General features: G+C 37.3%; 1 protein-coding gene across 5 annotated transcripts in view, besides 2 other annotated features; it reads left to right on the forward strand.

The window, feature by feature from the left end:
• The window catches only part of KCNH8 (potassium voltage-gated channel subfamily H member 8), a 387,133-nt gene that overhangs the window by 77,943 nt on the left and 286,403 nt on the right, over positions 1-22,787 (forward strand). The gene's annotated exons all lie outside the window — the stretch shown is intronic.
• Positions 7,382-7,898: an enhancer, noted in NCBI's record as "H3K27ac-H3K4me1 hESC enhancer chr3:19275326-19275842 (GRCh37/hg19 assembly coordinates)". NCBI's record gives its function as "activates a minimal SCP1, AML or CMV promoter by ChIP-STARR-seq in naive H9 embryonic stem cells {active_cell/tissue: H9 hESC(naive)}" and the evidence as "EXISTENCE:reporter gene assay evidence [ECO:0000049][PMID:30033119]".
• Positions 7,899-8,414: an enhancer, noted in NCBI's record as "H3K27ac-H3K4me1 hESC enhancer chr3:19275843-19276358 (GRCh37/hg19 assembly coordinates)". NCBI's record gives its function as "activates a minimal SCP1, AML or CMV promoter by ChIP-STARR-seq in naive H9 embryonic stem cells {active_cell/tissue: H9 hESC(naive)}" and the evidence as "EXISTENCE:reporter gene assay evidence [ECO:0000049][PMID:30033119]".

Below are 22,787 nucleotides of genomic sequence, written 5' to 3' on the forward strand. Positions count from 1 at the left end.
GTTTCTATAATCCTTGTCTTGGTAAGGTCTTGACAGTAAGAGACCGAGTTACATTTTGGAGGCATCATACTTCTTTGGCATCAAAGTGTTTGCTCCACCATCTCTCTCTCTCTCTCTGTTTCTTTCAGTCTTTCTCTCTCTCTCTCTCTGTCACACACACACACATGCATGCACACACACACACACACACACGGGAAAATTCACTCTGCAGGAAAGGCAGCTGTTAACTTACTGATGTTTAGGCTATTCAGGCTGTGCTCTGCTAAGCTCAGTTGGGTGCCATTCACAAAAGACCCCCTAGGATATGGTGCCTATAATTGGAATGGTGCCTTCTGGGGCTCTGCAGTGCCCTTCAAGAGCAGGACATATCTTAAAATGTTTCCAAAAGATTTTCAATAACAGGAAAAAACACCCATATACATTAGATCTATGATTTGTATACAATTCTGCAGATCCACAATTTCCCAGTCTCTTATCTCTGACTTGTCCACTAGACCTCAAGACTTAGGGTCTATTTTTGGAGCCGTGTCCCAAGTCTTCACCTGGATTCTTCACTGGACTCCTTTTGCCTGGATAGGTCCAGTGACACTTTCAAATCATTGCAATCACTGGAATTTATTGTTTATACTCAGGCATAAATATGGGAAATATCACTGTTACTCTCTAGAGCCAACATTACTCTTTGGGCACCTCAGTCTGGGTTTCCTTCTAATCTTGAAAACCAGACAAGACATCTGCTCCCCTCTGTGCTTTCTTCTTTAGCAACTCTGTTGTCCTTAATCCCTCCTTTCACTCATTTCTTTCCACCTGGGGCCAAGTTGCTATTTTCCATAGTGTTACTAATCTGTACATCTAATGAGCCAGTATTTTATCCTATTCTGATATGTCAGAGAAGGGGGATGATTGGGAGTAAGATAGTATACATGACACTTTTCTCTATTGAGAACTTTTATTCCTCGAGGTGACCCGTTGTCTAGATTGAAGATCAACATATACAAGAGAACTCAAGAATTCCCAACATCACTATGGATTATATTTGAATATCATTGCTTTATTTCTGTGAAAGTGTTCTCAGTCCAGAGCTTGAGAAGGAGTATACACACGCAGAGGGACACATAGGTTACAAATGATACAAAGATATAAGACATATCAGCTACCTATGGCCTATGAAGAATAAGAAAATGAGTTTAATGTAAAACAAAAGTAACCAGAATTTTTGAACATCTTGTTTATGCTATAGATTCAGGGAAACACTCAGTATCTGTTATGCACCATGTGGTCGCAGCAATTGTGAAGTATAGATAATGTTGTAGGCCCAGTGAGCGGCAACAAGGGTCAAAGTCGGTGGTCATGATTTGGTTGCAAGTCTGTCTGACTTCAAGGATCTTGTGTTTCCACTATACATGATGCCTGTGAAAAGATGTTTCCAGGGGAAAGGAACCACCCTTTTGGTGGTTATACATGTGCTCTTCATGTATAATGTTATGCACTTTCATGTATTCCTCACTGAGACCACATAATAATCATGTAAGCGAGGTATAGGTTATCATTCCTACTTAGATTCCAGAGCTGTGAGAGGAGGCTAATTTGTTCAGGATCGCATGACCACAAAGGCATAAACCAGAATTGGAATCCAAACAGTATGACTCTAGGGCAGTACCCTGTGCATACCCTGTGGGCCCTACCTGTCTCACCTCCTGTTTTTTTGAACAGGTGAGCTAAGAACAATAGTTATATTAATAAATGTTCAAAAGAATGATATTATTATTTAATGACAATAATTGTTTACATATTTTCTGTGGCTGTTTTCGTACTATGAATGTTGAGTATTTGTGACAGACTATATGGCCTTCAGAGCCTAAAATATTTAGTTGCTGGCCTTTTACGGAAGAATTTGCTAATCCCTACTCTAAAATCTACATTCTTAGCCTCAGGGCTGTTCTTTTTTCACAAGCTCGTGCCAGGCTTATATTGAGCACTTTTATAATTTGTGGCTTATTTTGTAACATATGAGAGTTTTAAAATAAAAATAAACATCTGAAACATTTTGGATGAATGTGGCACAGATGTGAAATTTTAGGGGCAGCTCAGTAAAACCATAAAATAGATTCTATAATGTATTGTGGGAAAGCATGATAAATGTTTTACTCACAGCATTGCTAGTTCTGTGATTCATTTAAAAAATGTATCTATGTTGACAAATAAAATGATGTTTATTTGTGTGTTACGTCACCAATATATTTAGCTAATTTCTATTTATTTGTATTCATCAGGTTATTTTCCAAAGCAGATAAAAAGTAGAACATTCACTGGAAACTTATGAATAAAGCTACATGCTTAATGGTTTAGCTAATAAGGCCAGAGAAAAAACAAATATGTCTACCTATGAAAAAAATTGTATTTAAGACACCTACTATGTGCTGTGCACTTTTATAGGAGGTAACTCATTTTACTCTTCAAGACTCAGAAGTAAAATAACCACTGCAAGTCATGCAGCGAAGCCGGATCTTGGAACTCCAAATCAGCATCTTTTTGTAAAACATTATAGGACATTTATAATTTCAAGTTGTACATTAGTCTAGAATTACTCATCCAGCTGGACAATGGATTCTGTTTCTATTTATTTGACTCTATTACTTCTGTCTGTTATTAGTTGTTCTAAGTATTACCCATTATTTGACTTTATTACTTCTGTCTGTAGTTTACTAGATGTTCAAAAGTAGCTGAAGATGTAAATGATATTGCCACTACTTCATATCTCACAAAATAGTTGAAGATGCCCTCTTCTCACAGCTCCACTAGGTGGTGCCCCAGTAGGGACTCTGTGGGGTGCTCCAACACCACATTTCCCTTCCATGCCCTAGCAGAGGTTCTCCATGAGTGCCCTACCCCTGCAGCAAGCTTCTGCCTGGCCATCCAGGCATTTCCGTATACCTTCTGAAATCTAGGTGGAGGTTCCCAAACCTCAATTCTTGACTTCTGTGCACTTTCAAGCTCAACATCACATGGAAGCTGCCAAGGCTAGGGGCTTGCACCCTCTGAAGCCAGGGCTTGAGATCTACATTGGCTCCTTTCAGCCACTGCTGGATCAGCTGGACACAGGGCACCAAGTCCGTAGGCTGCGCACAGCATGCAGACCCCAGGCCCAGCCCAAGAAACATTTTCTCCTAGGCCTCTGGGCCTGTGATGGGAGGGGCTGTGACATGCCCTGGAGACATTTTCCCCTCCTCATCTCCATCTGAGACCACCTTATCTTGGACCTTATTGTTCATATCACTATCAGCATTTTTGTCAAAGCAATACAAGTCTCTAGGAAGTTCCAAATTTTCCCACATTTTCCTGCCTTCTTCTGAGCCCTCCAAACTGTTCCAACCTCTGCCTGTAACCCAGTTCCAAAGTTGCCTCCATGTTTTCAGTTATCTTTTCAGCAATGCCCCACTCTACTGGTACCAATTTACTGTATTAGTCTATTTTCATGCTGCTGATAAAGACATACCTGAGACTGGGAAGAAAAAGAGGTTTAATTGGACTTAACAGTTCCACGTAGCTGGGGAGGCCTCAGAATCATGGCGAAGGTGAAAGGCTCTTCTTACATGGTGGCGGAAAGAGAAAATGAGGAAGTTGCAAAAGGGGAAACCCATGATAAAACCATCAGAGCTCATGAGACTTATTCACTATCACAATAACAGTATGGGGGAAACTGGCCCCATGATTCAGATTATCTCAGGGTAATTATGGGAGTGGGAATTATAGGAGTACAGTTCAACATGAGATTTGGTTGGGGACACAGAGCCAAACCATATCAGATGTTAAGCAGAAAGAACTTGTTTTAATAATTCAAGGTTTCAATAAATCTTATTCCAAGTTTGTATAAAAGTTGGAGAGATGACTTTCTTAATTTCCAACCACTCACTTTTTGGTGGTTATCTAAATTTTACAGTTGCAAACAGTAAACATAGAAGTTTAATAAAATCTAAATAAGCAGCAGACTCTTTCATCTTACTCAGAACCAGATAGCATAAATACCAGACTTGATAATGAGAAAAGATAAAGATCTGCTACTATGCTATCTTGAAAGATAGTTTTAGATATTTGTGATAAATGGTTATAGGGAAAATGCATACTGTGTCATCGGTTGCATAATACCAAAGCTGTACCTTAAAAAACTTTGAAATAGGTATTTTTTACATTAAAACAAAATCAGTTATCATCAGTAACTCTTTATGTACTGTAAACATTTATTGTGCTCAAGAAAAAACAGATGGTTTGCACTTAAAAAACTTACAAACTGAAGAAAACAAGGACAGTGTGATTTATGAGTGTGTACTTGTATATCTTTCATAAGGTTCCATTCCTGGTGGGCATGTAATTTGGCACAATGCTTTCGTTCTTCGGAACGCAAATTTGCAATATGTGCCAAGAGTTTTGGAAATGTCCTTACCATTTGAATCAAAACTTTTAACTTCTAGGAATTTGCCTTAAGAAAGATGTAAAATGCGTTCATCATCATGTTAGATATGAATGAAAAATTTTAAAAAATCTGAACAAATAAGTATAAGAAAATGGCTAACATACTATATCCAATTATGTTACTATAGTATAGTAACTATAGTATATCCAAGGTGTGGGCTATTTTGCAATCAATAACATGATGTTAAAAATGTATATCTGCTATCTTGGGGGAACATATTACATTAACTGAAAAAGAAGAACTATTTTCTTAAAAATTTGATTTATTAATATATAATATGCATATACACCTCTATACTTCTATGATAACACTGATTAAAATGTACTATGTTTTCCTTTTTATTTATGCATGTTCCCCACTACACCAAACAAATCCAAGGGAAAGGATTGTGTCATTCACTAGTGTAGTGTCCTTATTGTGCATAATGCTCGGTATGTTGTAGATAAACTGTAACTTCTTTTGAGTAAATAAGAAAGATGAGAGAAAATCTGGTGGTCTTTGTATAATGGAATTATACTTTTTTTACATTTACATTTTATATTTTATTTAGTACTTTCTTATTTATATAATCAGAACAGACAATTTAAAAAGTAATAGTAAATTTATATATTGAAAAAGAGAGATGGCATCTTTTTTCCAAAACTGCTGGCTTAGGTATATAGTGTTGAAATGGTTCTTTCTAATTTAGCTCTAGTTTAAATAACCCTCTCTTAATGGGCCAGCCTACAAGATCATATCTGTTGCATGGCTTCCTTTCTACCCCATGGTATTCTTTTACAGAATGAAGTATCCAACAGTGCAATGCTGAATCATTATTAGCTCTAATTTGGGAAATCGAGCCTTGAAGTAATAAGTGTTTGGGGTCTGATTCTGTGAATGCTACTCACTCTCAGCTTTCCTTTCATCAAAGGAGCTTGTCTTCATTTGCAAACATTTCTTTTCTCTTCAAAACATCTTTCACAGTGCCTTTGCCAGGTAAATACATTCCTTCCTGAAATATTAAATCAATACATCAAATTAATTGCCGCGAGTTTTGAGACCTGACACCAAAAGAGAATACACAGCCTCTAGCTCAATTCAGAGGTCACTATGCTGAATTGCTTTCACAATCTTTGAATTATGCATTTGAAATGTTTGCTGCTGTATCTTGATTGGAATGTATTTTTTAGTGTGAAAATAATTGACAGGAATTAGTGTTTTTTTCCTTTTCAAAGAAAAATTCAGGATCACATGGAAGCCTCTTGCATGATTAGCAAACAAGACACACCTTCCAGATTTATTTACTTCAATCAATAGATTGCAAATGTCCTAATGTAACTTGAATACGTCATCTGTGCTTGGTTGCCAAGAAGATAATCTGACTCTTGGTTTTATTTCCTCAACCATATCCTTCACTGAGAATCTGGAGAAAATCCCTCAACATTTTCATCAAAGGGATGTTTGATGTAGAAAATCTTAGCTACAAGAAAACCAAGGATCCAATACAATAAAGGAGAGTTTCTATTTGCACGTGTTATGAAACTTCAGCCCACTGTTTTCTTACCTAGCTAATCTTATGCTTTAATGTCCAAGCTTGTATAGAATTCAAAAAGTGATCAGGAATTAGCCTATAGGATGCTTTTGTAAAAATTAGAAAAAGGTACTCCTGGTGGACAAATCAGTTAGGAAAAAGAATCTCCTTGAGTGGATCCTGGGGTGCAAGGTTAGTCACTGGCACACTGTTTCCCGTTTGGCTTAGATTCTTTGTGAAATGCACAAATGCCCAACCTGGGATAGCAGCTCTTGGGTAAAGGATGAGTGTATGAGAATTGTATGAAGCATCTGAGAGGTATGGTATGAAAGATGCCCTGTAGCACCTGGGAACACATCCAAATCTCAATTGGCATGGGTCACGTGTAGCTACAGGTCTCAGAAATAGTTCTTGGCCATTTCAGAGAATACTATTCATGCTGTTGCCAAATTCAAAGCATGAGGAACAGCTGATTTTTATATATTGCTGATGTTTGACACATAAAATGGCAATTTTCTATGATTCAACCTAAATAAGTCCCCTATTAGTAGTGCTTGGCCATTTTCTAATGTTTTGATTAAAATGCTACTTGTCTCTTATCCCTACACCTCAATGTCTTGATATTCCTCCCCCCCCCCACCCCACTACATAAATTGAGCTGTTATCTTAAATGGCAGCCATCTCTGTCTGGAGCTGTTAATTCTTGATACTGTTGAAAATAACTTTGATTTGATCTTATTGCTACTGTCAGCACACTGAGTGGGTGCCAGTTTCAGGACACAATAGTAGGTGAGGGACTTTTTAATCAGTGAAAAGTTTGTAGCAGAAGAGTCACTAGTATTATTTGTTAAATCTACCTAGAAACATGAAACAATTGGAATAATTACTGGACAAATATTTTACAAAAATGCATGTAGTGTTTTTATAGGTTATAATGCTTACAGTGAGCTTCAAGAAACTCTAGAACTTATGCTTCTGTGCTTTGCTGCTTTGTTTATTATAGGGAAAGAAAAGAAGATAGGAAGGAAGGAAAGAAGTTAAATATTCTTTCATGAATGGATAAACTGTTAGAGTTTATCCTACAGTTGAGTAGTTCAATTGGAGCAAATAGATGTACAGCAGATCCTTGAATAATATTGTTTCATTCAAGTCATTTATTATAACATTGATGAGAAAAAAACATCAGTTCCCAGCCTGGGCCACTGTCTGTGTGGAGTTGGCTTGTTCTCTTGTGTGGATTTTCTCTGGGTACTCTGGTTTCCTCTCACGTGTCAAAGATGTACACGCTAGGTAATTTTGTGTCTGGAATTGGTGGGTTCTTGGTCTCACTGACTTCAAGAATGAAGCCATGGACCCTCGCGGTGAGTGTTACAGTTCTTAAAGGCGGCGTGTCTGGAGTTTGTTCCTTCTGATGTTCGGATGTGTTCGGAGTTTCTGCTTTCTGGTGGGTTCGTGGTCTCACTGGCTCAGGAGTGAAGCTGCAGACCTTCGCGGTGAGTGTTAAAGCTCATAAAGGCAGTGTGGAGCCAAAGAGTGAGCAGCAGCAAGATTTATTGCAAAGAGCAAAAGAACAAAGCTTCCACAGTGTGGAAGGGGACCCCAGCAGGTTGCCACTGCTGGCACCGGCAGCCTGCTTTTATTCTCTTATCTGGCCCCACTCACATCCTGCTGATTGGTAGGGCCCAGTGGTCTGTTTTGACAGGGCGCTGTTTGGTGCGTTCACAATCCCTGCGCTAGACACAAAGGTTCTCCACGTCCCTACCAGACTCAGGAGCCCAGCTGGCTTCACTTAGTGGATCCCGCACCGGGGCTGCAGGTGGAGCTGCCTGCCAGTCCCGCGCTGTGGGCCGGCACTCCTCAGGCCTTGGGTGGTCCATGGGACTGGGCGCCGTTGAGCAGGGGGCGCCGCTCGTGGGGAGGCTCCGGCCGCACAGGAGCCCACGGAGTTGGGGGGAGGCTCAGGCATGGCAGGCTGCAGGTCCCGAGCCCTGCCCCGCGAGAAGCCAGCTAAGGCCCTGCGAGAAATTGAGCACAGCAGCTGCTGGCTCAGGTGCTAAGCCCCTCACTGCCCCAGGCGGGTGGGGCTGGCCGGCCAATCCGAGTGCGGGGTCCGCGAGCCCTCGCCCACGCGGAACTCCCGCTGGCCCGCAAGCACCGTCCGCAGGCCCGGTTCCCGCCCGCGCTTCTCCGAGCTCCACACCTTCCCGCAAGCTGAGGGAGCCGGCTCCCGGCCTTGGGCAGCCCAGAAAGGGGCTCCACAGTGCAGCGGCGGGCTGAAGGGCTCCTCAAGTGCCGCCAAAGTAGGAGCCCAGGCAGAGGAGGCGCGGAGAGCGAGAGAGGGCCGTGAGCACTGCCAGCACGCTGTCACCGCTGAATTTGACCTGCGTACATGATCCCAGTCTGAGTGAGTGTGGGTGGGTGTGAATGCACCCTGCAATAGAATGATGTCCTGTCCAGCGTGGGTTTCTGCCTTGCACCCTGAACTTCTGGGATAGGCTCTGGCCACTCTGTGACACTGAACTGAAGTAGCTGGGTAAATAATTATCTTACTTGTTTTTATTAAACTTTGTTAAATGTATGTATAGTTCGCGCTTATCTCAGTGTTTAGTATTAGAAGTGTTTTGGTTTTTATTTAGAAGTTTGGTGACGTTAGGAGAAATGTGCCATAGGAACTTAACTCTTGTTTGTATCAATTAGCCTATGGTAAAATTGGTTTTATTATACCTTGCTTTGCTTAAAGTCACAGCTTCCAAAAACCTATCAATGACATTAGGTGAGACTTACTATATAGTTATCAATGTGATAGATTTCAAAAACAAAGTTCATCGGGAGGGGGTAACTTCAAAATAATCCATATAGAATGATACAATTTATGTAAATTTTACAAGCACATAAAAGATTTTTAAATGCTGTTTATATACACAAAAATATGATGAAAGTATAAAACAAAGGTGATTAGATTACATGTGCACTCCAGAATTATGTGTGCCTCTGGGGCATACATATGTATCTTCTGGGGAAAGATGAGAGGGACTAAAATTGAGGAAGCAATGTTGGCTGCATCTGGAATATTATCAAATTAGAAACAAATACGGAAATATGGTTAATATTTTTTAATTCTGGACGATAGGCCCTGAATTTTGGTCACATTACTCTCTTCAATTTTTATGTCTGAATACTTAAGAATAACGATATAACAATGATCATCTATGTAAGTCTGTTTTACGTGGAAAATTTAAATACTAACAAATTAGTGGATTTTTCTTAAAAAATGCAGATGCTGTTATCTTTTTAATGCCATCAGAGGGTCTCAGGCACTTCAAATTCACAGAGTTACAGCGATCTAAGGTTCTGAGTGAAAGACATCCTAGTTGAAATGACTTGATTTTCTTAAGCAATTATTTTAGAAAAATGGCCAAAATTGAAATCAGGAAAACTGACTTTCAGCATAGATTTGATTATCCTTACTTGGAAAACAGCCATTGTGCATTTGTTTGATAAAACAGATTTCAACATAGGGCCTTGTAGTTAGAGATAATTTTTACATAATGTCATCGAATAAATGATAGTTTTATGTATAATTCTGTGTAACTGTGTGTATATAGTTTATGAGATGGGGGAAGGCAGGCAAAAGCTTGGTGGCATAGTCTTAGACCTTTAAATAGTATATAAAAGGCTCTGCAGATTCCCTAGAGGGATTTGCAACTCCATTGCTCCACAGTACCAATAAGCAGTGCAGAATACCAGGGCTGAAAGAAACTTCATTGAAGTTGTTAGTCTCTCTTTGAATCCTGGAAGAAGTCTTCATTTGAGTCTTTGAAGAAGTCTTCATCTGAGTCTTCCTCCGTGTGGGGGTGGGTACATGCAGCTTTTTGGTTAACAACAGAGACAACAAAAATGTGGACAGTCATTATCTAGATAAATTATACACTATCTCTTCTCTTCTTACGTCATCGTGTACTGCCTCCCTTCTCCAGCCTGTTAATATGCTTAAGATGAAGGACTCCAGTGTCTTTCACGGGGAGGGAAGTAAGAAGGAAAACCCTGGTATGTACACTGCGTGGTGTATGCTTTTGAGAGTTGAAGGTGGAGTAAGAGGGCACTGGTTAAAATCTTATAATTTGTTATTCTTGTAGTATTAGGTAGAACTGTGACACTCTAACCATTTTATATGCCCTTTCCTCAGAATCTGGTAAAGGAAGATGTGGTATAAGTTTAAGATGAAACAAAGCATAAAATTATTCACTCAAGTTGCAGCCTTAGAATGGTATAGATTCCATTAATAGACATCCATGTAGAACATGTGTAAATGAAGATATCTAAGACAAGGAAAAAAAAAGCCAAAGGAGTAGATTTTAAACACAGAAATTATTAACACCTTTCTGTAATACTCTAGGTTTCAACATCCTATGTGCCATACATATATTATGCTAAAATATTTTAATGCCATTGTCAAAAACATCAGTTGGTTTAAAAACCCAGTTGAACTTGACTTTATTATTCTGTTTTGACCTAATTCCTTTGGAAGTCACTTAGTTTATTTATATGTTAATGTTTTATCTGTAGTATAAAATGGTATGAGATTGTGGGAGGTAAATACAGTTCTTATGGCCAAATTAAATGGCAATACATGTTAATGCAGCAACAAACAGCATAAGCTTTTTTGCTTTGTTTTCTTTTTGAACTTAGTATTTATAAATCCCCTAGGAAGAACCACTTGATAGGAGGTCACAGGTAGCATCTGTAGATGTTTTTAATTGGTGTTTTCGTTGTTGAGTAATGGAAGAGTCTTCAGATATTATTCAGTCAGTCTGTTGTTCTCAGAGCTGCCCATGGCCTCTGTGGGAATTAGACAAAGGCATCTTTCCTCCAGTGGACATGGCCCAATGCTAGGGCTCATGGCTTGGTGAACGAATGCAGGCTGGATTTCAGTCCTCATAGAGCCCTTTAGCTGGGCACTCTTGTTCAAAATATGACCTACTCAAATGTTTGTGGCAGCCCTGGTGGTTGTTCTCCAAAAGCTGTGCTGGTTTATAAAACCCTCTCCTTCACATTAGTACAAGGAATACATACCTGAGTATTAAAGGGCAACTGCAGTGGGCACATGCATTGAATATTAGTGTGTTCCTTGAGTTCAGTGATTTACAGTAATCTGTACAGAGGCAAACACAAATGAATAATTAGGGTCATGTAAATGTAGACAATGAAGACCCTGTAATTTACAGACTGAACTTGGAGCAAGTGAAAATAGCAAGACTGAGAAATCTGTGCAGTTAGTATATTAGCTCTGATTCACTAAAGTACATGAACCACTGAGGGACCCAGAACAGAATCAAAGGCTAATGTATATGCAGGGCACACATGTGCACAAACGTGTGTATGTCTTTTGTTTCAAAGCAATTTTTATCCAAATTACATATCCATTGCTTAAGAAAAAAATGCGATTAAAGGTCCATTTTGAAACTATTGGATAAGGGATAAATATATTTATATAAAATTTACATATGTCCTATAAATTTTATGGTAAGATATTTAGCAGTTGGATTTGGAGTATATTTCAAAATAAAGATCTTCAGAATTCAGGGCTTGTGGGGGACACAATTCAAAAAGCATGGCAAGATAATTTCTTAGATTTTTCAAATGGCGTCAGAAGTCATCTAGGCTGTTTCTGCACCTCATGGTAGTCTGCTTTCTGTTGCACTTGTGCAAGTCATCCATCTTAGTATTAGTTCTTTTGGTAACAGCGAGATCACCGTATTTAAGGTAGCTTGTGACCTTTTGGATAGCCTTAGTTACTAGACAGAGTTATGTTCATGCTGAGATTAAATCTTTCCCTTGTAATGTCCATCAGTGGGCTCTGCTTCTGTTTCCTGGACAAACCTAGAATAAGAGTGCTCTCTCTTCTATGTGACAATGCTGCAGATATATGAAATGGTATAATTTCCCTGTCTCAAGACTGAGAAAATAGTAGACTAGACAATGGTAAAACAAACTGAAAAAGAAAAAAATATCCAGGAAGTAGAGAGATTATTCCAAGTCTTTGTTTTTGCAGACACTTGCACCCCTTTATGAGAATTTATTTGCATAGAATAATAACTTTTTATGATTTAATAACCGCATGCTGAGGAAATACATTTTGCTTTCCAAATTGTGGATGAATAACAATGCCAGAAGACCTTTTACAAAGGCAAAAGAACCAATTACTTGTCCTCCTTGTTTCTAATATTGTAGTCTCATATAAAGTAGACCGAAAAAAATAAAGCTTACTGTGATGTTACTTCTTAGCATATGTTGGCATATGTTTATATCATAAAATACACATTTTGGGTCTTTTTCCTCAATGAGCTTTTGTTGAAAATTATAGAATTTGGTACAAGTCTTCAAGATCATTTGGAACCAAGTGTCTAGCAGTGAGCAGGAGAAGCGTATCTTACAGTTTTTTAATTCCAGAGGATGTTCCAAAATAGTAGCTTTAATTTTTACTCACACTAAAATTTTAAAGGAGCAAACCTAGAAAGTTCCCAGAAAACGTATGTAATTATTAGAATACAGGACTAACTAAGTAATTTTTGATATATTGATTCTTACATCACGATTCAAATTGTAGTTATAAAGACAGGAATAAATAGGGAAATACTGATGATACTGTGTGTTTCAGTTAGGAATGCTTTCAGCCTAAAATACAAGAGAACCCAAGTATCAGTGGTTTAAACAAATAGGACTTTTTTTTTCACCTAATAAAACATCTGGCTATAGGCTTTTGCTGGCCTATTTTACTATTAAATGATATTATCAAAAATCCAGGATTTTTTCCATCCTTTAGTTATGCCATATCCAGGCATGTCACCTCAAGGTCACAAGATAACTAGTACAGTCCTGGACACCACAATCACATTACCAGGCATGGATGAGGGGCAGAAAAGGTAGAAGAGCATAATGGCCCGGATGGTGAGAACATTTCTCTTCTCATAGCTCTCTTTTAATAGAAATGAAAATCTTTTAACCTAGATACTTTCAAACTGACTTATCCAAATATCTCATTGGACAGGACTTGTTAACTTGGCCACATAATGGCAAGTGAAAATATCAGTTTCACAATTATGGCTATGCTATGATAATATTTATTTAAAATATTAATGGAGAAAAATTTTAGAAACTAGTCTAGAATTATTACCAGTAGCTGAGGAAAGTAGAATGATGGAATCTATCTATCTATCTATCTATCTATCTATCTATCTATCTATCTATCTACCTACCTACCTATCTATCTAAGCTGTCTATCTAATCTAGTTTCCTAATGCTTTATAATGTGGCTACCTTAGTTAGATAACTAAATCATGCATTTATAATAAAATTAAATTTATTTAACCTTAAAGATATTAGCCTTCTACTTGACAGATTCATTGGTTTATCAAGTATCTCATTTGACATCACATCCACACAGCTATACTTAACCAAAGCAGGGAACGGAGCAGGGAAGCCATGCTGGTATCTTTATGATCATCCTTTTAGCTAGAGCATATTCAGTATCACAACCAATGCCTTCCCCAGTGTTCGTGGACTCAAAACATGATTATATTGATTTCTTTAAAAATCTATACTGCAGATCATATTTAAACATAAAATATACTTAGTATTGGCGTGGAAACATTGTGATTAGTTTCATCTAATTTCATGAGCTCTCTCTTTACTCACTTTCCGCTTTCTTGGCTACTCTTTTCAGGCTCATTTGATGGTTTCTCCTGATTTTTTTCAACCTTTGACAGTTTAAGTTTTCTGGATTCAGTATTCAGACTTTATTTTTGCTCTGTTTTTACTTACTTTCTAAATTATCCAATTTCTGCTAACTCCAAATTTCTATCTAAGCATAGCTATCATCCTTAAACTTCAGAAATTAGGCCAGGCGCAGTGGCTCATGCCTGTAATCCCATCACTTTGGGAGGCCGAGGTGAGCGGATCGCCTGAGGTCGGGAGTTCAAGAGGAGCCTGACCAACATGGAGAAACCCTGTCTCTACTAAAAATACAAAATTAGCCAGGCATGGTGGCGCATGCCTGTAATCCCAGGTACTCTAGAGGCTGAGGCAGGAGAATCGCTTGAACCTGGGAGGCGGAGGTTGCGGTGAGCCGAGATCGTGCCACTGTACTCCAGCCTGGGCAACAAGAGCGAAACTCTGTCTAAAAAAAAAAAAAAAACAAAAAAAACTTCGGAATCTATTCAACTGCATACTTTATATCTCCTCTTGGATGCTTAATAGACTTCTTAAACAGCATATATAAGACCAAACTGTCAAAATCACCCAGACCTGCAGAGTTTTTGTTCCATCTCATAAGATACACCTCTGCCTTTCTAGTTATTAAGGCAAAAGCATTGACATCATTCTTGAACTCCTTTTTTTTCCCTCTCCAACTGCAGTGGAATCCATAGGCAAATTTTTCAGCTCTTCTAAAAATGCCTCAGATATGACCACTTCTCACCACCTTCATTGGTATCGCTCTGGTCCAAAATCACCTCATGTTTTTTTATGGACTGTCATGATAACCCTCTACTAGTCTTCCCAGTCTGGCTCTTGTTCTTCTATAGCCTATCCTATTTTGTTAAGTGGAAGAAATTTAGGGTTTGAGATATTTCACACTAATTAAGATACCTCTGCTGTATCTTAATATTCAAGCTGTTTTCCTTTTGTCTGTTTGCGTTTGTCTTTTTCTTTCTTTCCTCTCTCCCTCTCTTCTTTTCTTCCTTCCTTTCATTCTGAAGATTAAAACTGTATGCAGTTTTTACATTGTTCATTATAGTCATTAAGTTCTAGTCACTGTTCATACATAACTTCTGTATCCATAATTCATTGACTCACCACCTGTCTGAGATAGAAAGGATCTTGGAGATCATACGATTCAACTACTTCACCTTACACATGAGACAGGTAAGGTCCAGAGAGGAGAGGTGACTTGAGCATGATCATACAGTTTTTTATTGATTGAATTGAAACCCAATTCTAAGATACCTCATGTGTAGACTAGTGTTTTTCCAAAGTAGAAAATATCTACTAGATATAGTATATCTAACATGTAAACCTCCTCATGACTTAGGTCTAAAAGGTGCTCAACCCAAAATCTAATCATCAACAGAAATGAGTTTTCTCATGAAAAGACAATTTTGTAAATTGCAGATTAGGTGGCTTCCATGGTGTCATATCAACATAACTCAGATGTATTGACAACATTGCCTTGGAAAAATGTGTGTGTGTATGTGTGTCTCAGGTAATATTCAGTTATAAAAATACACACACAGACACACACACACACACACACACACACACATGCTTGATAGAAGAGAAACCATTCCTGATGGAGAAAGTATACAGTTGAGTGTGCATTAATAATTTTGTGTATAAGGGGCTCAGGTATGTGTGGCTAACAAATCACAAATAACTACAATATTGAACGTTGTAATAGTCTTAATTAAAAAATAGGCCATGATGATAGAGAATAGTTGAGAGAGGGATCTACTTAGAGAAGATGATCAGGGAAGGACTCTGAGAAGTGTACATTTAATCCAAGACCTGAAATATGTAAAACAGGGAGAAGAAACTACACGGGCAAAAGCCTTGAAAGTGGAAAGAGCTGGGAAGAACATTCTTGAGTATAAAATACCAGGTGTGAGGAGTGAGTGAAGTTTTAGGCAGGGTATTCCAGGCCATGAAAGAGGTAGTTTAGATCTCATTCCAAGTGCAATGGAAAATCTTTAAAGAATTTAAAACAGGAGGGTGATAGTGTGATTTTTCTGCAAAGATTTCTAGGTAGTATAACCAAAAGCAGGTGTTAAATCCACATGTGGATTAGGTTAGCACCATTCCACGGTCATACCATTGACATCACTAACTAATGAAAGAGTGAGATCCCCATCACTAGGGTACTGGTGCAGAGGAGGCTGGGCAACCACTTTATGAGAATATGATAGAGGGGGATTAAAGGATTATAGGTTGGGCATGAGGTTATGTATTGACCTTTATGATCCTCTCCAAACTTTAAGCTTCCATAGTTCTATGAACTAAGCTAATTATTGAAAATGTCTTTAGGAATAAAAGAAAACCATAAGATCAAAGGGGTTATTATTCAGAAGGGAATTCCCCCTCTCCCCCTAAACCATAGAAATCAATTATATACTTATCTAGAAAGGTGTTATCCCCCTTCCCACACTGGAGCTGCGGAATATAATCTGAACCCCCTTCCATTAGAGCAGAAGGTCTTAATTTTTTGTGTGATATCTCTCACTGAGTAATCTTGTTTAAAATGAAGGTCACCAGGTCCTATACCTTGGAGGTTCTGCTTCAGTAGACCTGAGGTAAGGTTTATGAAACTGCAAATGTAATAAGCAACCCAGGAGATTCCAATAGATGAGGTGGATGAAGTGAACAAGGACTGTACTTTGAGAAACCGTGGGTTTGGTGACAACAAAAGAAAAAACAAAACAAAACCCATTTAGATCCTAGCTGTAGTTCACCTCTAGCCATCCTCCACTGAACTCAGGAGTATTACAGCTCTAAGGATGGTTTAACTTGCTGTTTAGCATTGTTAGGTTATGCAACCTTTCTGAGCCAAAGTTTCTTCATCTATAATGACACTTACCGTAAGATGCTATTGTGAGGGCCACAGATTCAAAATACAGAATGCTGACCTGAGCGTCTGGCGTATCACAGCTGCTTAATAAACAAAAGCTATTATCTGCTTTATTTCAGCCTAATTTATTTGGCTTCCTTCTTACTACTCATCTCCATTCTGTAATGCAGAGTCAGCATACACCTGTGTTGGTTTGTTTCTCAATTATTGTCTTCTTCTTGCCTCGACCTCTCTTGCAGACTCCCAGAGACTTGCCTTAAGCAAGTATCACCTTAATTAAAGTTTGTTTTTTCCATCTCTGCATTATTATAATGACTCTAGAAGAAAACTCCGATATTACAGCCATGGAATAGCTGTGACCATCAAATTAGTTTAGTCTTATGTTTCCTGTTACTTAACTTACAATTATCTCTTGTAAAGCTACTCATCTTTCCTGTTTAATCTAACATGAGTACTGCAAAGCAGAGAATACAGTTCAGGAGACAGATGAGGTTTTGGAAAATGCTACCAAATTATGGAAAACATTTGAATACCACTAGCTTTTGCAGAATATAAACAAAACTTAAATGGAGAAAGGTCAGTCCACTCTGATGGATTGGGCATATTAATTTGTATATGTTGTCTTCAAAAATTCAAATTTAAAAGACCTATCAGTGTAAAGGTAATAAAACGACTAAAACATGACTGAATTAACCATTTTTTTCCTCAAATCTTCATGTATGCTTGAAGTAAAAAGGCTGTTCCAGTCAGTTTGAAATTAAAAAGAAATATTCTTTGAATTAAATATAATTGCAAGTAAAGTCTAGACTGTGCTTCTGGAGAATCAGGGGACAAGTTAAATTAAATATTTTGGGAATCTTAGTATTCTTAGAATATGGCTGGTTTCATTTGCTAGATTCCACTTAACTTGCCTTTCAGTAGGCCAAATAAGATGTCAAGATAAATAACTGTGTTTTTTGAATAAAAAATATTGTCTTGTGGTCTTACTTTGTTTTTAAATAAACTTCTAAAAGAAGTTTTTTAAAAGGTATAAAATTAAAACCACACTTAGCTGCATAAACTTATGTTTATTTAAAAGAATAAAATTATACTAAATGAAAATTGTCCCAGAAAATCCAGGCCCTGTCACTTTCTCCTTAACTCTTCACCTTTCCTTTTCCTCTGGGATGGGAAGTCACAATTTTTATCTACTATTCATTTCTGTATGTTGAAAGGGGGAAGCTATGGCAAAGAATAAGCTTTGCAAAGGCAGGAGAAAAGTTTGACCACATTTTATTTACGCAGTCTACCATAGATGGGCCCCTAGGTTGATTCCATGTCTTTGCTATTGTGCATAGCACTGTGGTGAACATATGAGTGCACGTGTTTTTGTTTTTGTTTTTTGTTGTTGTTGTTGTTGTTATAATGATCTATTTTCCTTTGTGTATATACCCAGTAATGGGATTGCTGGGTTGAATGGTAGTTCTGTTTTATATTCTTTGAGAAATCTCCAAACTGCTTTCCACAGTGGCTGAACTAATCTACATTCCAACCAACAATGTATAAGCATTCCCTTTTCTTCACAGCTTCACCAGCATCTGTTGTTATTTGACTTTTTAATAATAGCCATTCTGATCGGTATGAGATGGTATCTCGTTGTGGGTTTTGATTTGCATTTCTCAGATGATTAGTGATGATGAATATTTTTTCATATTTTTATTGGCCACTTGCATGTCTTCTTTTGAGAAGTGTCTGTTCATGTCCTTTGCCCATTTGTAATAGGGTTTTTTTTTGTTTGTTGGTTTGTTGAAGTTTCACATAGATTCTAGATATTAGATCTTTGTCAGATGCATAGTTTGCAAATAGCTTCTTTCATTCTGCAGGTTGTCTGTTTACAGTTTATTTTGCTATGGAAAAGCTTTTTAGTTTAATTACATCCCACTTGTCAGTTTTTATTTTTGTTGTAATTCCTTTTGTGGACTTAGCCAGAAATTCTTTGCCAAGGCCAATATTGAGAAGGCTATTCCCTAAGTTTTCTTCAGGATTTTTATAGTTTGAAGTCTTACATTTAAATCTTGAATCCAACTTGAGTTAACTTTTGTATATGGTGACTGGTAGGGGTACAATTTCTTTCTTCTGCATATGGCTAACCAGTTATCTTAGCACCATTTATTAAATAGGGGAGTCCCTTCCCCATTGCTTGCTTTTGTTGTTCTTGTAAAATATCATATGGTTGTAAATGTGTGGCTTTATTTCTGAGTTTTCTATTCTGTTCCATTGGTCTATGTGTCTGTTTTTGTACCAGTACCACGCTGTTTTGGTTACTATAGCCTTATAGCATACTTTGAAGTTGGGTAATGTGATGCCTCTGGCTTTGTTCTTTATGCTTAAGATTATTTTGGCTATTTGAGCTATATTTTGTTTCCATACGAATTTTAGAATATTTTATTCTAATTCTGTGAAGGATGATGTTGGTATTTTCATCAGAATAGTGTTGAATCTGTAAATTCTTTTTGATGGTATGGACAGATACTGATTTTTCAATCCATGAGCATGGACTGTTTTTACATTTATTTATATCATCTCTGATTTCTTTCAGCCAAATTTTATGGTAGAGATTTTTTTTAACTCTTTAGTTAGTTGTATTCATGGGTATTTTATTTTCTTTGTGGCTATTGTAAATGGGATTATGTTCTTGATTTGACTGTCAGCCTGGACATTGGTGTATAGAAATGGTATTCATTTTTGTACATCTATTTTGTATCCAGAAACCATACTGAAAGTGTTTATCAGTTCTAGCAGCCTTTTGGCAGAGTCTTTAGGGTTTTCTAGGTATAGAGTAATATCATTAGCAAAGGAGATAGTTTGACTTATTTTCCCATTTGAATAACTTTTTATTTTTCTCTTGCATTATTTTTCAATATGAAACTTATTTATTGAACTCTAAGGGACAATAAACCTGACAAGAATTAGTACAATTCAACACTAAAGCTCATATAGGTGGAAAAGTGAAATTTACAAAATTTATTGATGATTTTGCTAATTCTAAATTATGAAAGTATATAAATTTGCTTCAAGTTTGTTTATCTTAATGAGCTTTCACCTTTGTTTAATGAAAGTTTTAAAATTTGTTAATATAGGGTTTTTCCTTCAATAAGATTGCTGTTTTTAAAATTAAATTATTTTTATTAAACCATTCAAATGAATGATTAAATAACTTTAAGAAGTTTTTTTGTTGTTGTTGTTTTTTTTTTTTTTTTTTTTTTTGATGGAGTCTCGCTCTGTCGCCAGGCTGGAGTGCAGTGGTGCGATATCGGCTCACTGCACCCTCTGCCTCCCAGGTTCAAGCGATTCTCCTGCCTCAGCCTCCCGAGTAGCTGGGACTACAGGCACGTGCCACCATGCCCAGCTAATTTTTGTATTTTTAGTAGAGATGGGGTTTCACCATGTTGGCCAGGATGGTCTCGATCTCTTGACCTCATGATCCGCCTGACTCGGCCTCCCAAAGTGCTGGGATTACAGGCGTGAGTCACCACGCCCAGCCAAGAAGATATTTTTGAGTATGTATTACATGCATATAACAGAAAATTCAAAAGTTAAAATGGGTATACAATGAAAATAAGTCTCTCTTATTTTTTTATCCTCAGCCGCATACTCCTTCAATCATTTACTGTCACTAGGTTCTTGTAGATCTTTCCAGTGCTATTCTAAAGAATCATCTCAAACTTTAATGTGTATATGAATCTTGTTAAAATGTGGGTTAAGTTTCACTGGGTCTGGAGTGAAACTTAAGATTATGAATTTCCACCTGAGGGTGATGTTGCTGGCCCACGACTATGCACCCAATGGCAAGGTTGTGAAGGACATTTGTTTCCATTTGTCTCTCTGTTTGTTTGTTTATTGGACTGAAGGGAGCAAGATAGTCTCATAAACAGATGCGGTTTTCTGCTTTCTACTACTACCTCAGCACTAGAGTTCCAGCTTTGAGCTTTGCACTGTTACAAAGCTTTCTTCTAATCTTTGTCTTAAGTGATAATCTATACAGTATTTAAAAAATCAAACCATAAATGAAGAATGAAACCTAGCAATATGAAGCCTGATACTGGATGATGTATAAATTACAAGGACTATGAGAAATCTTTTTTACAAATTTTTAATCTGCTATTTAAACAAGGTTAGAAAAGTTACCAAATAAAGATAACCTCCTAAATTTTGGCAGAAGTCATGCTGTAAACTTTAGCTTGGAGCCAGTACTATTAATCTAATAAAGATGCTATCATACTTGGAAATGATGCAGTTAAGCTCCCTGAAATCAATATAAAGTGCAAAGATCATTTAAATATTTTAAAGTCATAAATATTAATATTCTATCTTCCTATACAAAGTAGTTTCCAGAAATGACTGTGTTCAATATCACAAGGGATACAAACGTTGTCTTTGTTGAACCTGCATGTAAAGGTAATTCTGAAAGCATAGGGGGGCAACTCACAAAACAATGTCAAAAGTTCCTGTTTGTTTCTTGCTCTGTGCAGGAAAGTGAAGGATGGAGGACTTATATTTGTCTACCTTCCTTGTCAACAGCATATGTTACTATGAGTACTTGCTAACCCAATGCAAGGATTCTTTTTAAAAAGAGAACCAATATCAAAGATACTCTTCAGAAATAAAGATTTGAACTATAAATGTCTCAATTTCTGCATAATTGGCAGGAAGAGCCAAGAGAATACAGGTTTCTGTATGATGCCAAGTCAGTGTGTATCAGTGACCCCATTGCTTTGAATGGCTCCAGGGATCTGCCATATGGAGAATTATTACACTCGGTGCTGAGATGGTTATTTTTAAATATTTGAGGCTACAAAGGGAGAATGGTTTGTATCTGCCTAATCTTCTTGAGCATACACTATTCTACTTAGAGTTGTGATTCTCAAACCTAAATTATGTAGTAGTATACTAAATGATATGCACAAGTCATAGTAGAAACAGCACAACCTTTCAAAGTTTCAATTGAATTAAAAGTTTTACAGGCCCATATCAAAACAAAATAACACTACAACAAGCAATAATATATGAAAGGGTATAATGAAAAATTCTGATGAATTTTTAAGTTAAACCTAAGATTTGAAAACAATATCAGGCTTAGGGATATGCTTCTAGGCCCCATGGAATACAAATTTGTTGGCCAGTAGAAGGATATTTCAGTGGGAAACTTTTAAGTATTGCAAAATACATTAAAAGCACGTGAGATTAGAGACCAGATTATTTGAGTAGAAACGACATTTCTGTGCTGCCTATGAGACTCCAGAGTGGCTGTATGCAAAACATTTTGAGACCACAGAAGTTACTGTCCTATTTCTGAAACACTGATTTTCTGCATGAAATTAGAAAGTGACATAGAGTTTGCTAACACATCCAGACTGGCTTAGGAGATGTCATCAATGAATTTTTAATGTATAATCTCTAGAGAGAAAAATCCATGTCTTTGGGTTTTTTGGAGACTGAAATAGGTAAAAATATTTTTTCTACAATTTACCCATTTCTCCTGCTAGTAGCGAGCAAGTCAGTTCTTTACAGAATGTGTGGTATAGTAAAATAAGTCACATAGACTGAGTTTTAATCTCCAGCATTGGATCTTAGACAGGAAACTAAAGTTCTCTAGGTCTGTGTTCTCTGAAAAGTGGGACAAGTACAAAGATGAAAGAAGCTAATAGTGGATCAATGTTTATGCTCTTCTCTCTTTTTTATTTTCATCTTTTATACCTTTCCATTCCTACCCGCATTCTCTTTGGGCTTAAGAAGTTAACAATAAACAGTACATCTTCATTTGAAGGGGAAAGTGGTGCTCCATATTAGGAGATCAGACTCAGTGACCTGGGTGTTTACCAATCATGAGATTCTCTCTGAAGATTCATGAAAGCTTCTTGCTAAGAAAGCATTTAGAGAAATAGTCAGCTGCCTAGTGTATAAGTACATTTATATCTTACTGTTTACTCTCACTTTCAAACTGAATATATATATAAAAATTACCTAGAAACAAGCAGAGAAAAGCCATGTGGCATTTAGATGCATATTGCATATGCATAATTGATTTCTTAAAAGGTTAAATACCCTTAGCATATGTATGGATAGTGATATACCCATGATGATTTCGTAAGTATTATGGCAGTGGCTTTGTTTTACATAATTCTAAAGTAAATGTCATGTTTCTTCTT

The sequence above is a fragment of the Homo sapiens genome, chromosome 3 (genome assembly GCF_000001405.40).
Source record: "Homo sapiens chromosome 3, GRCh38.p14 Primary Assembly".
Taxonomy (NCBI): domain Eukaryota; kingdom Metazoa; phylum Chordata; class Mammalia; order Primates; family Hominidae; genus Homo; species Homo sapiens.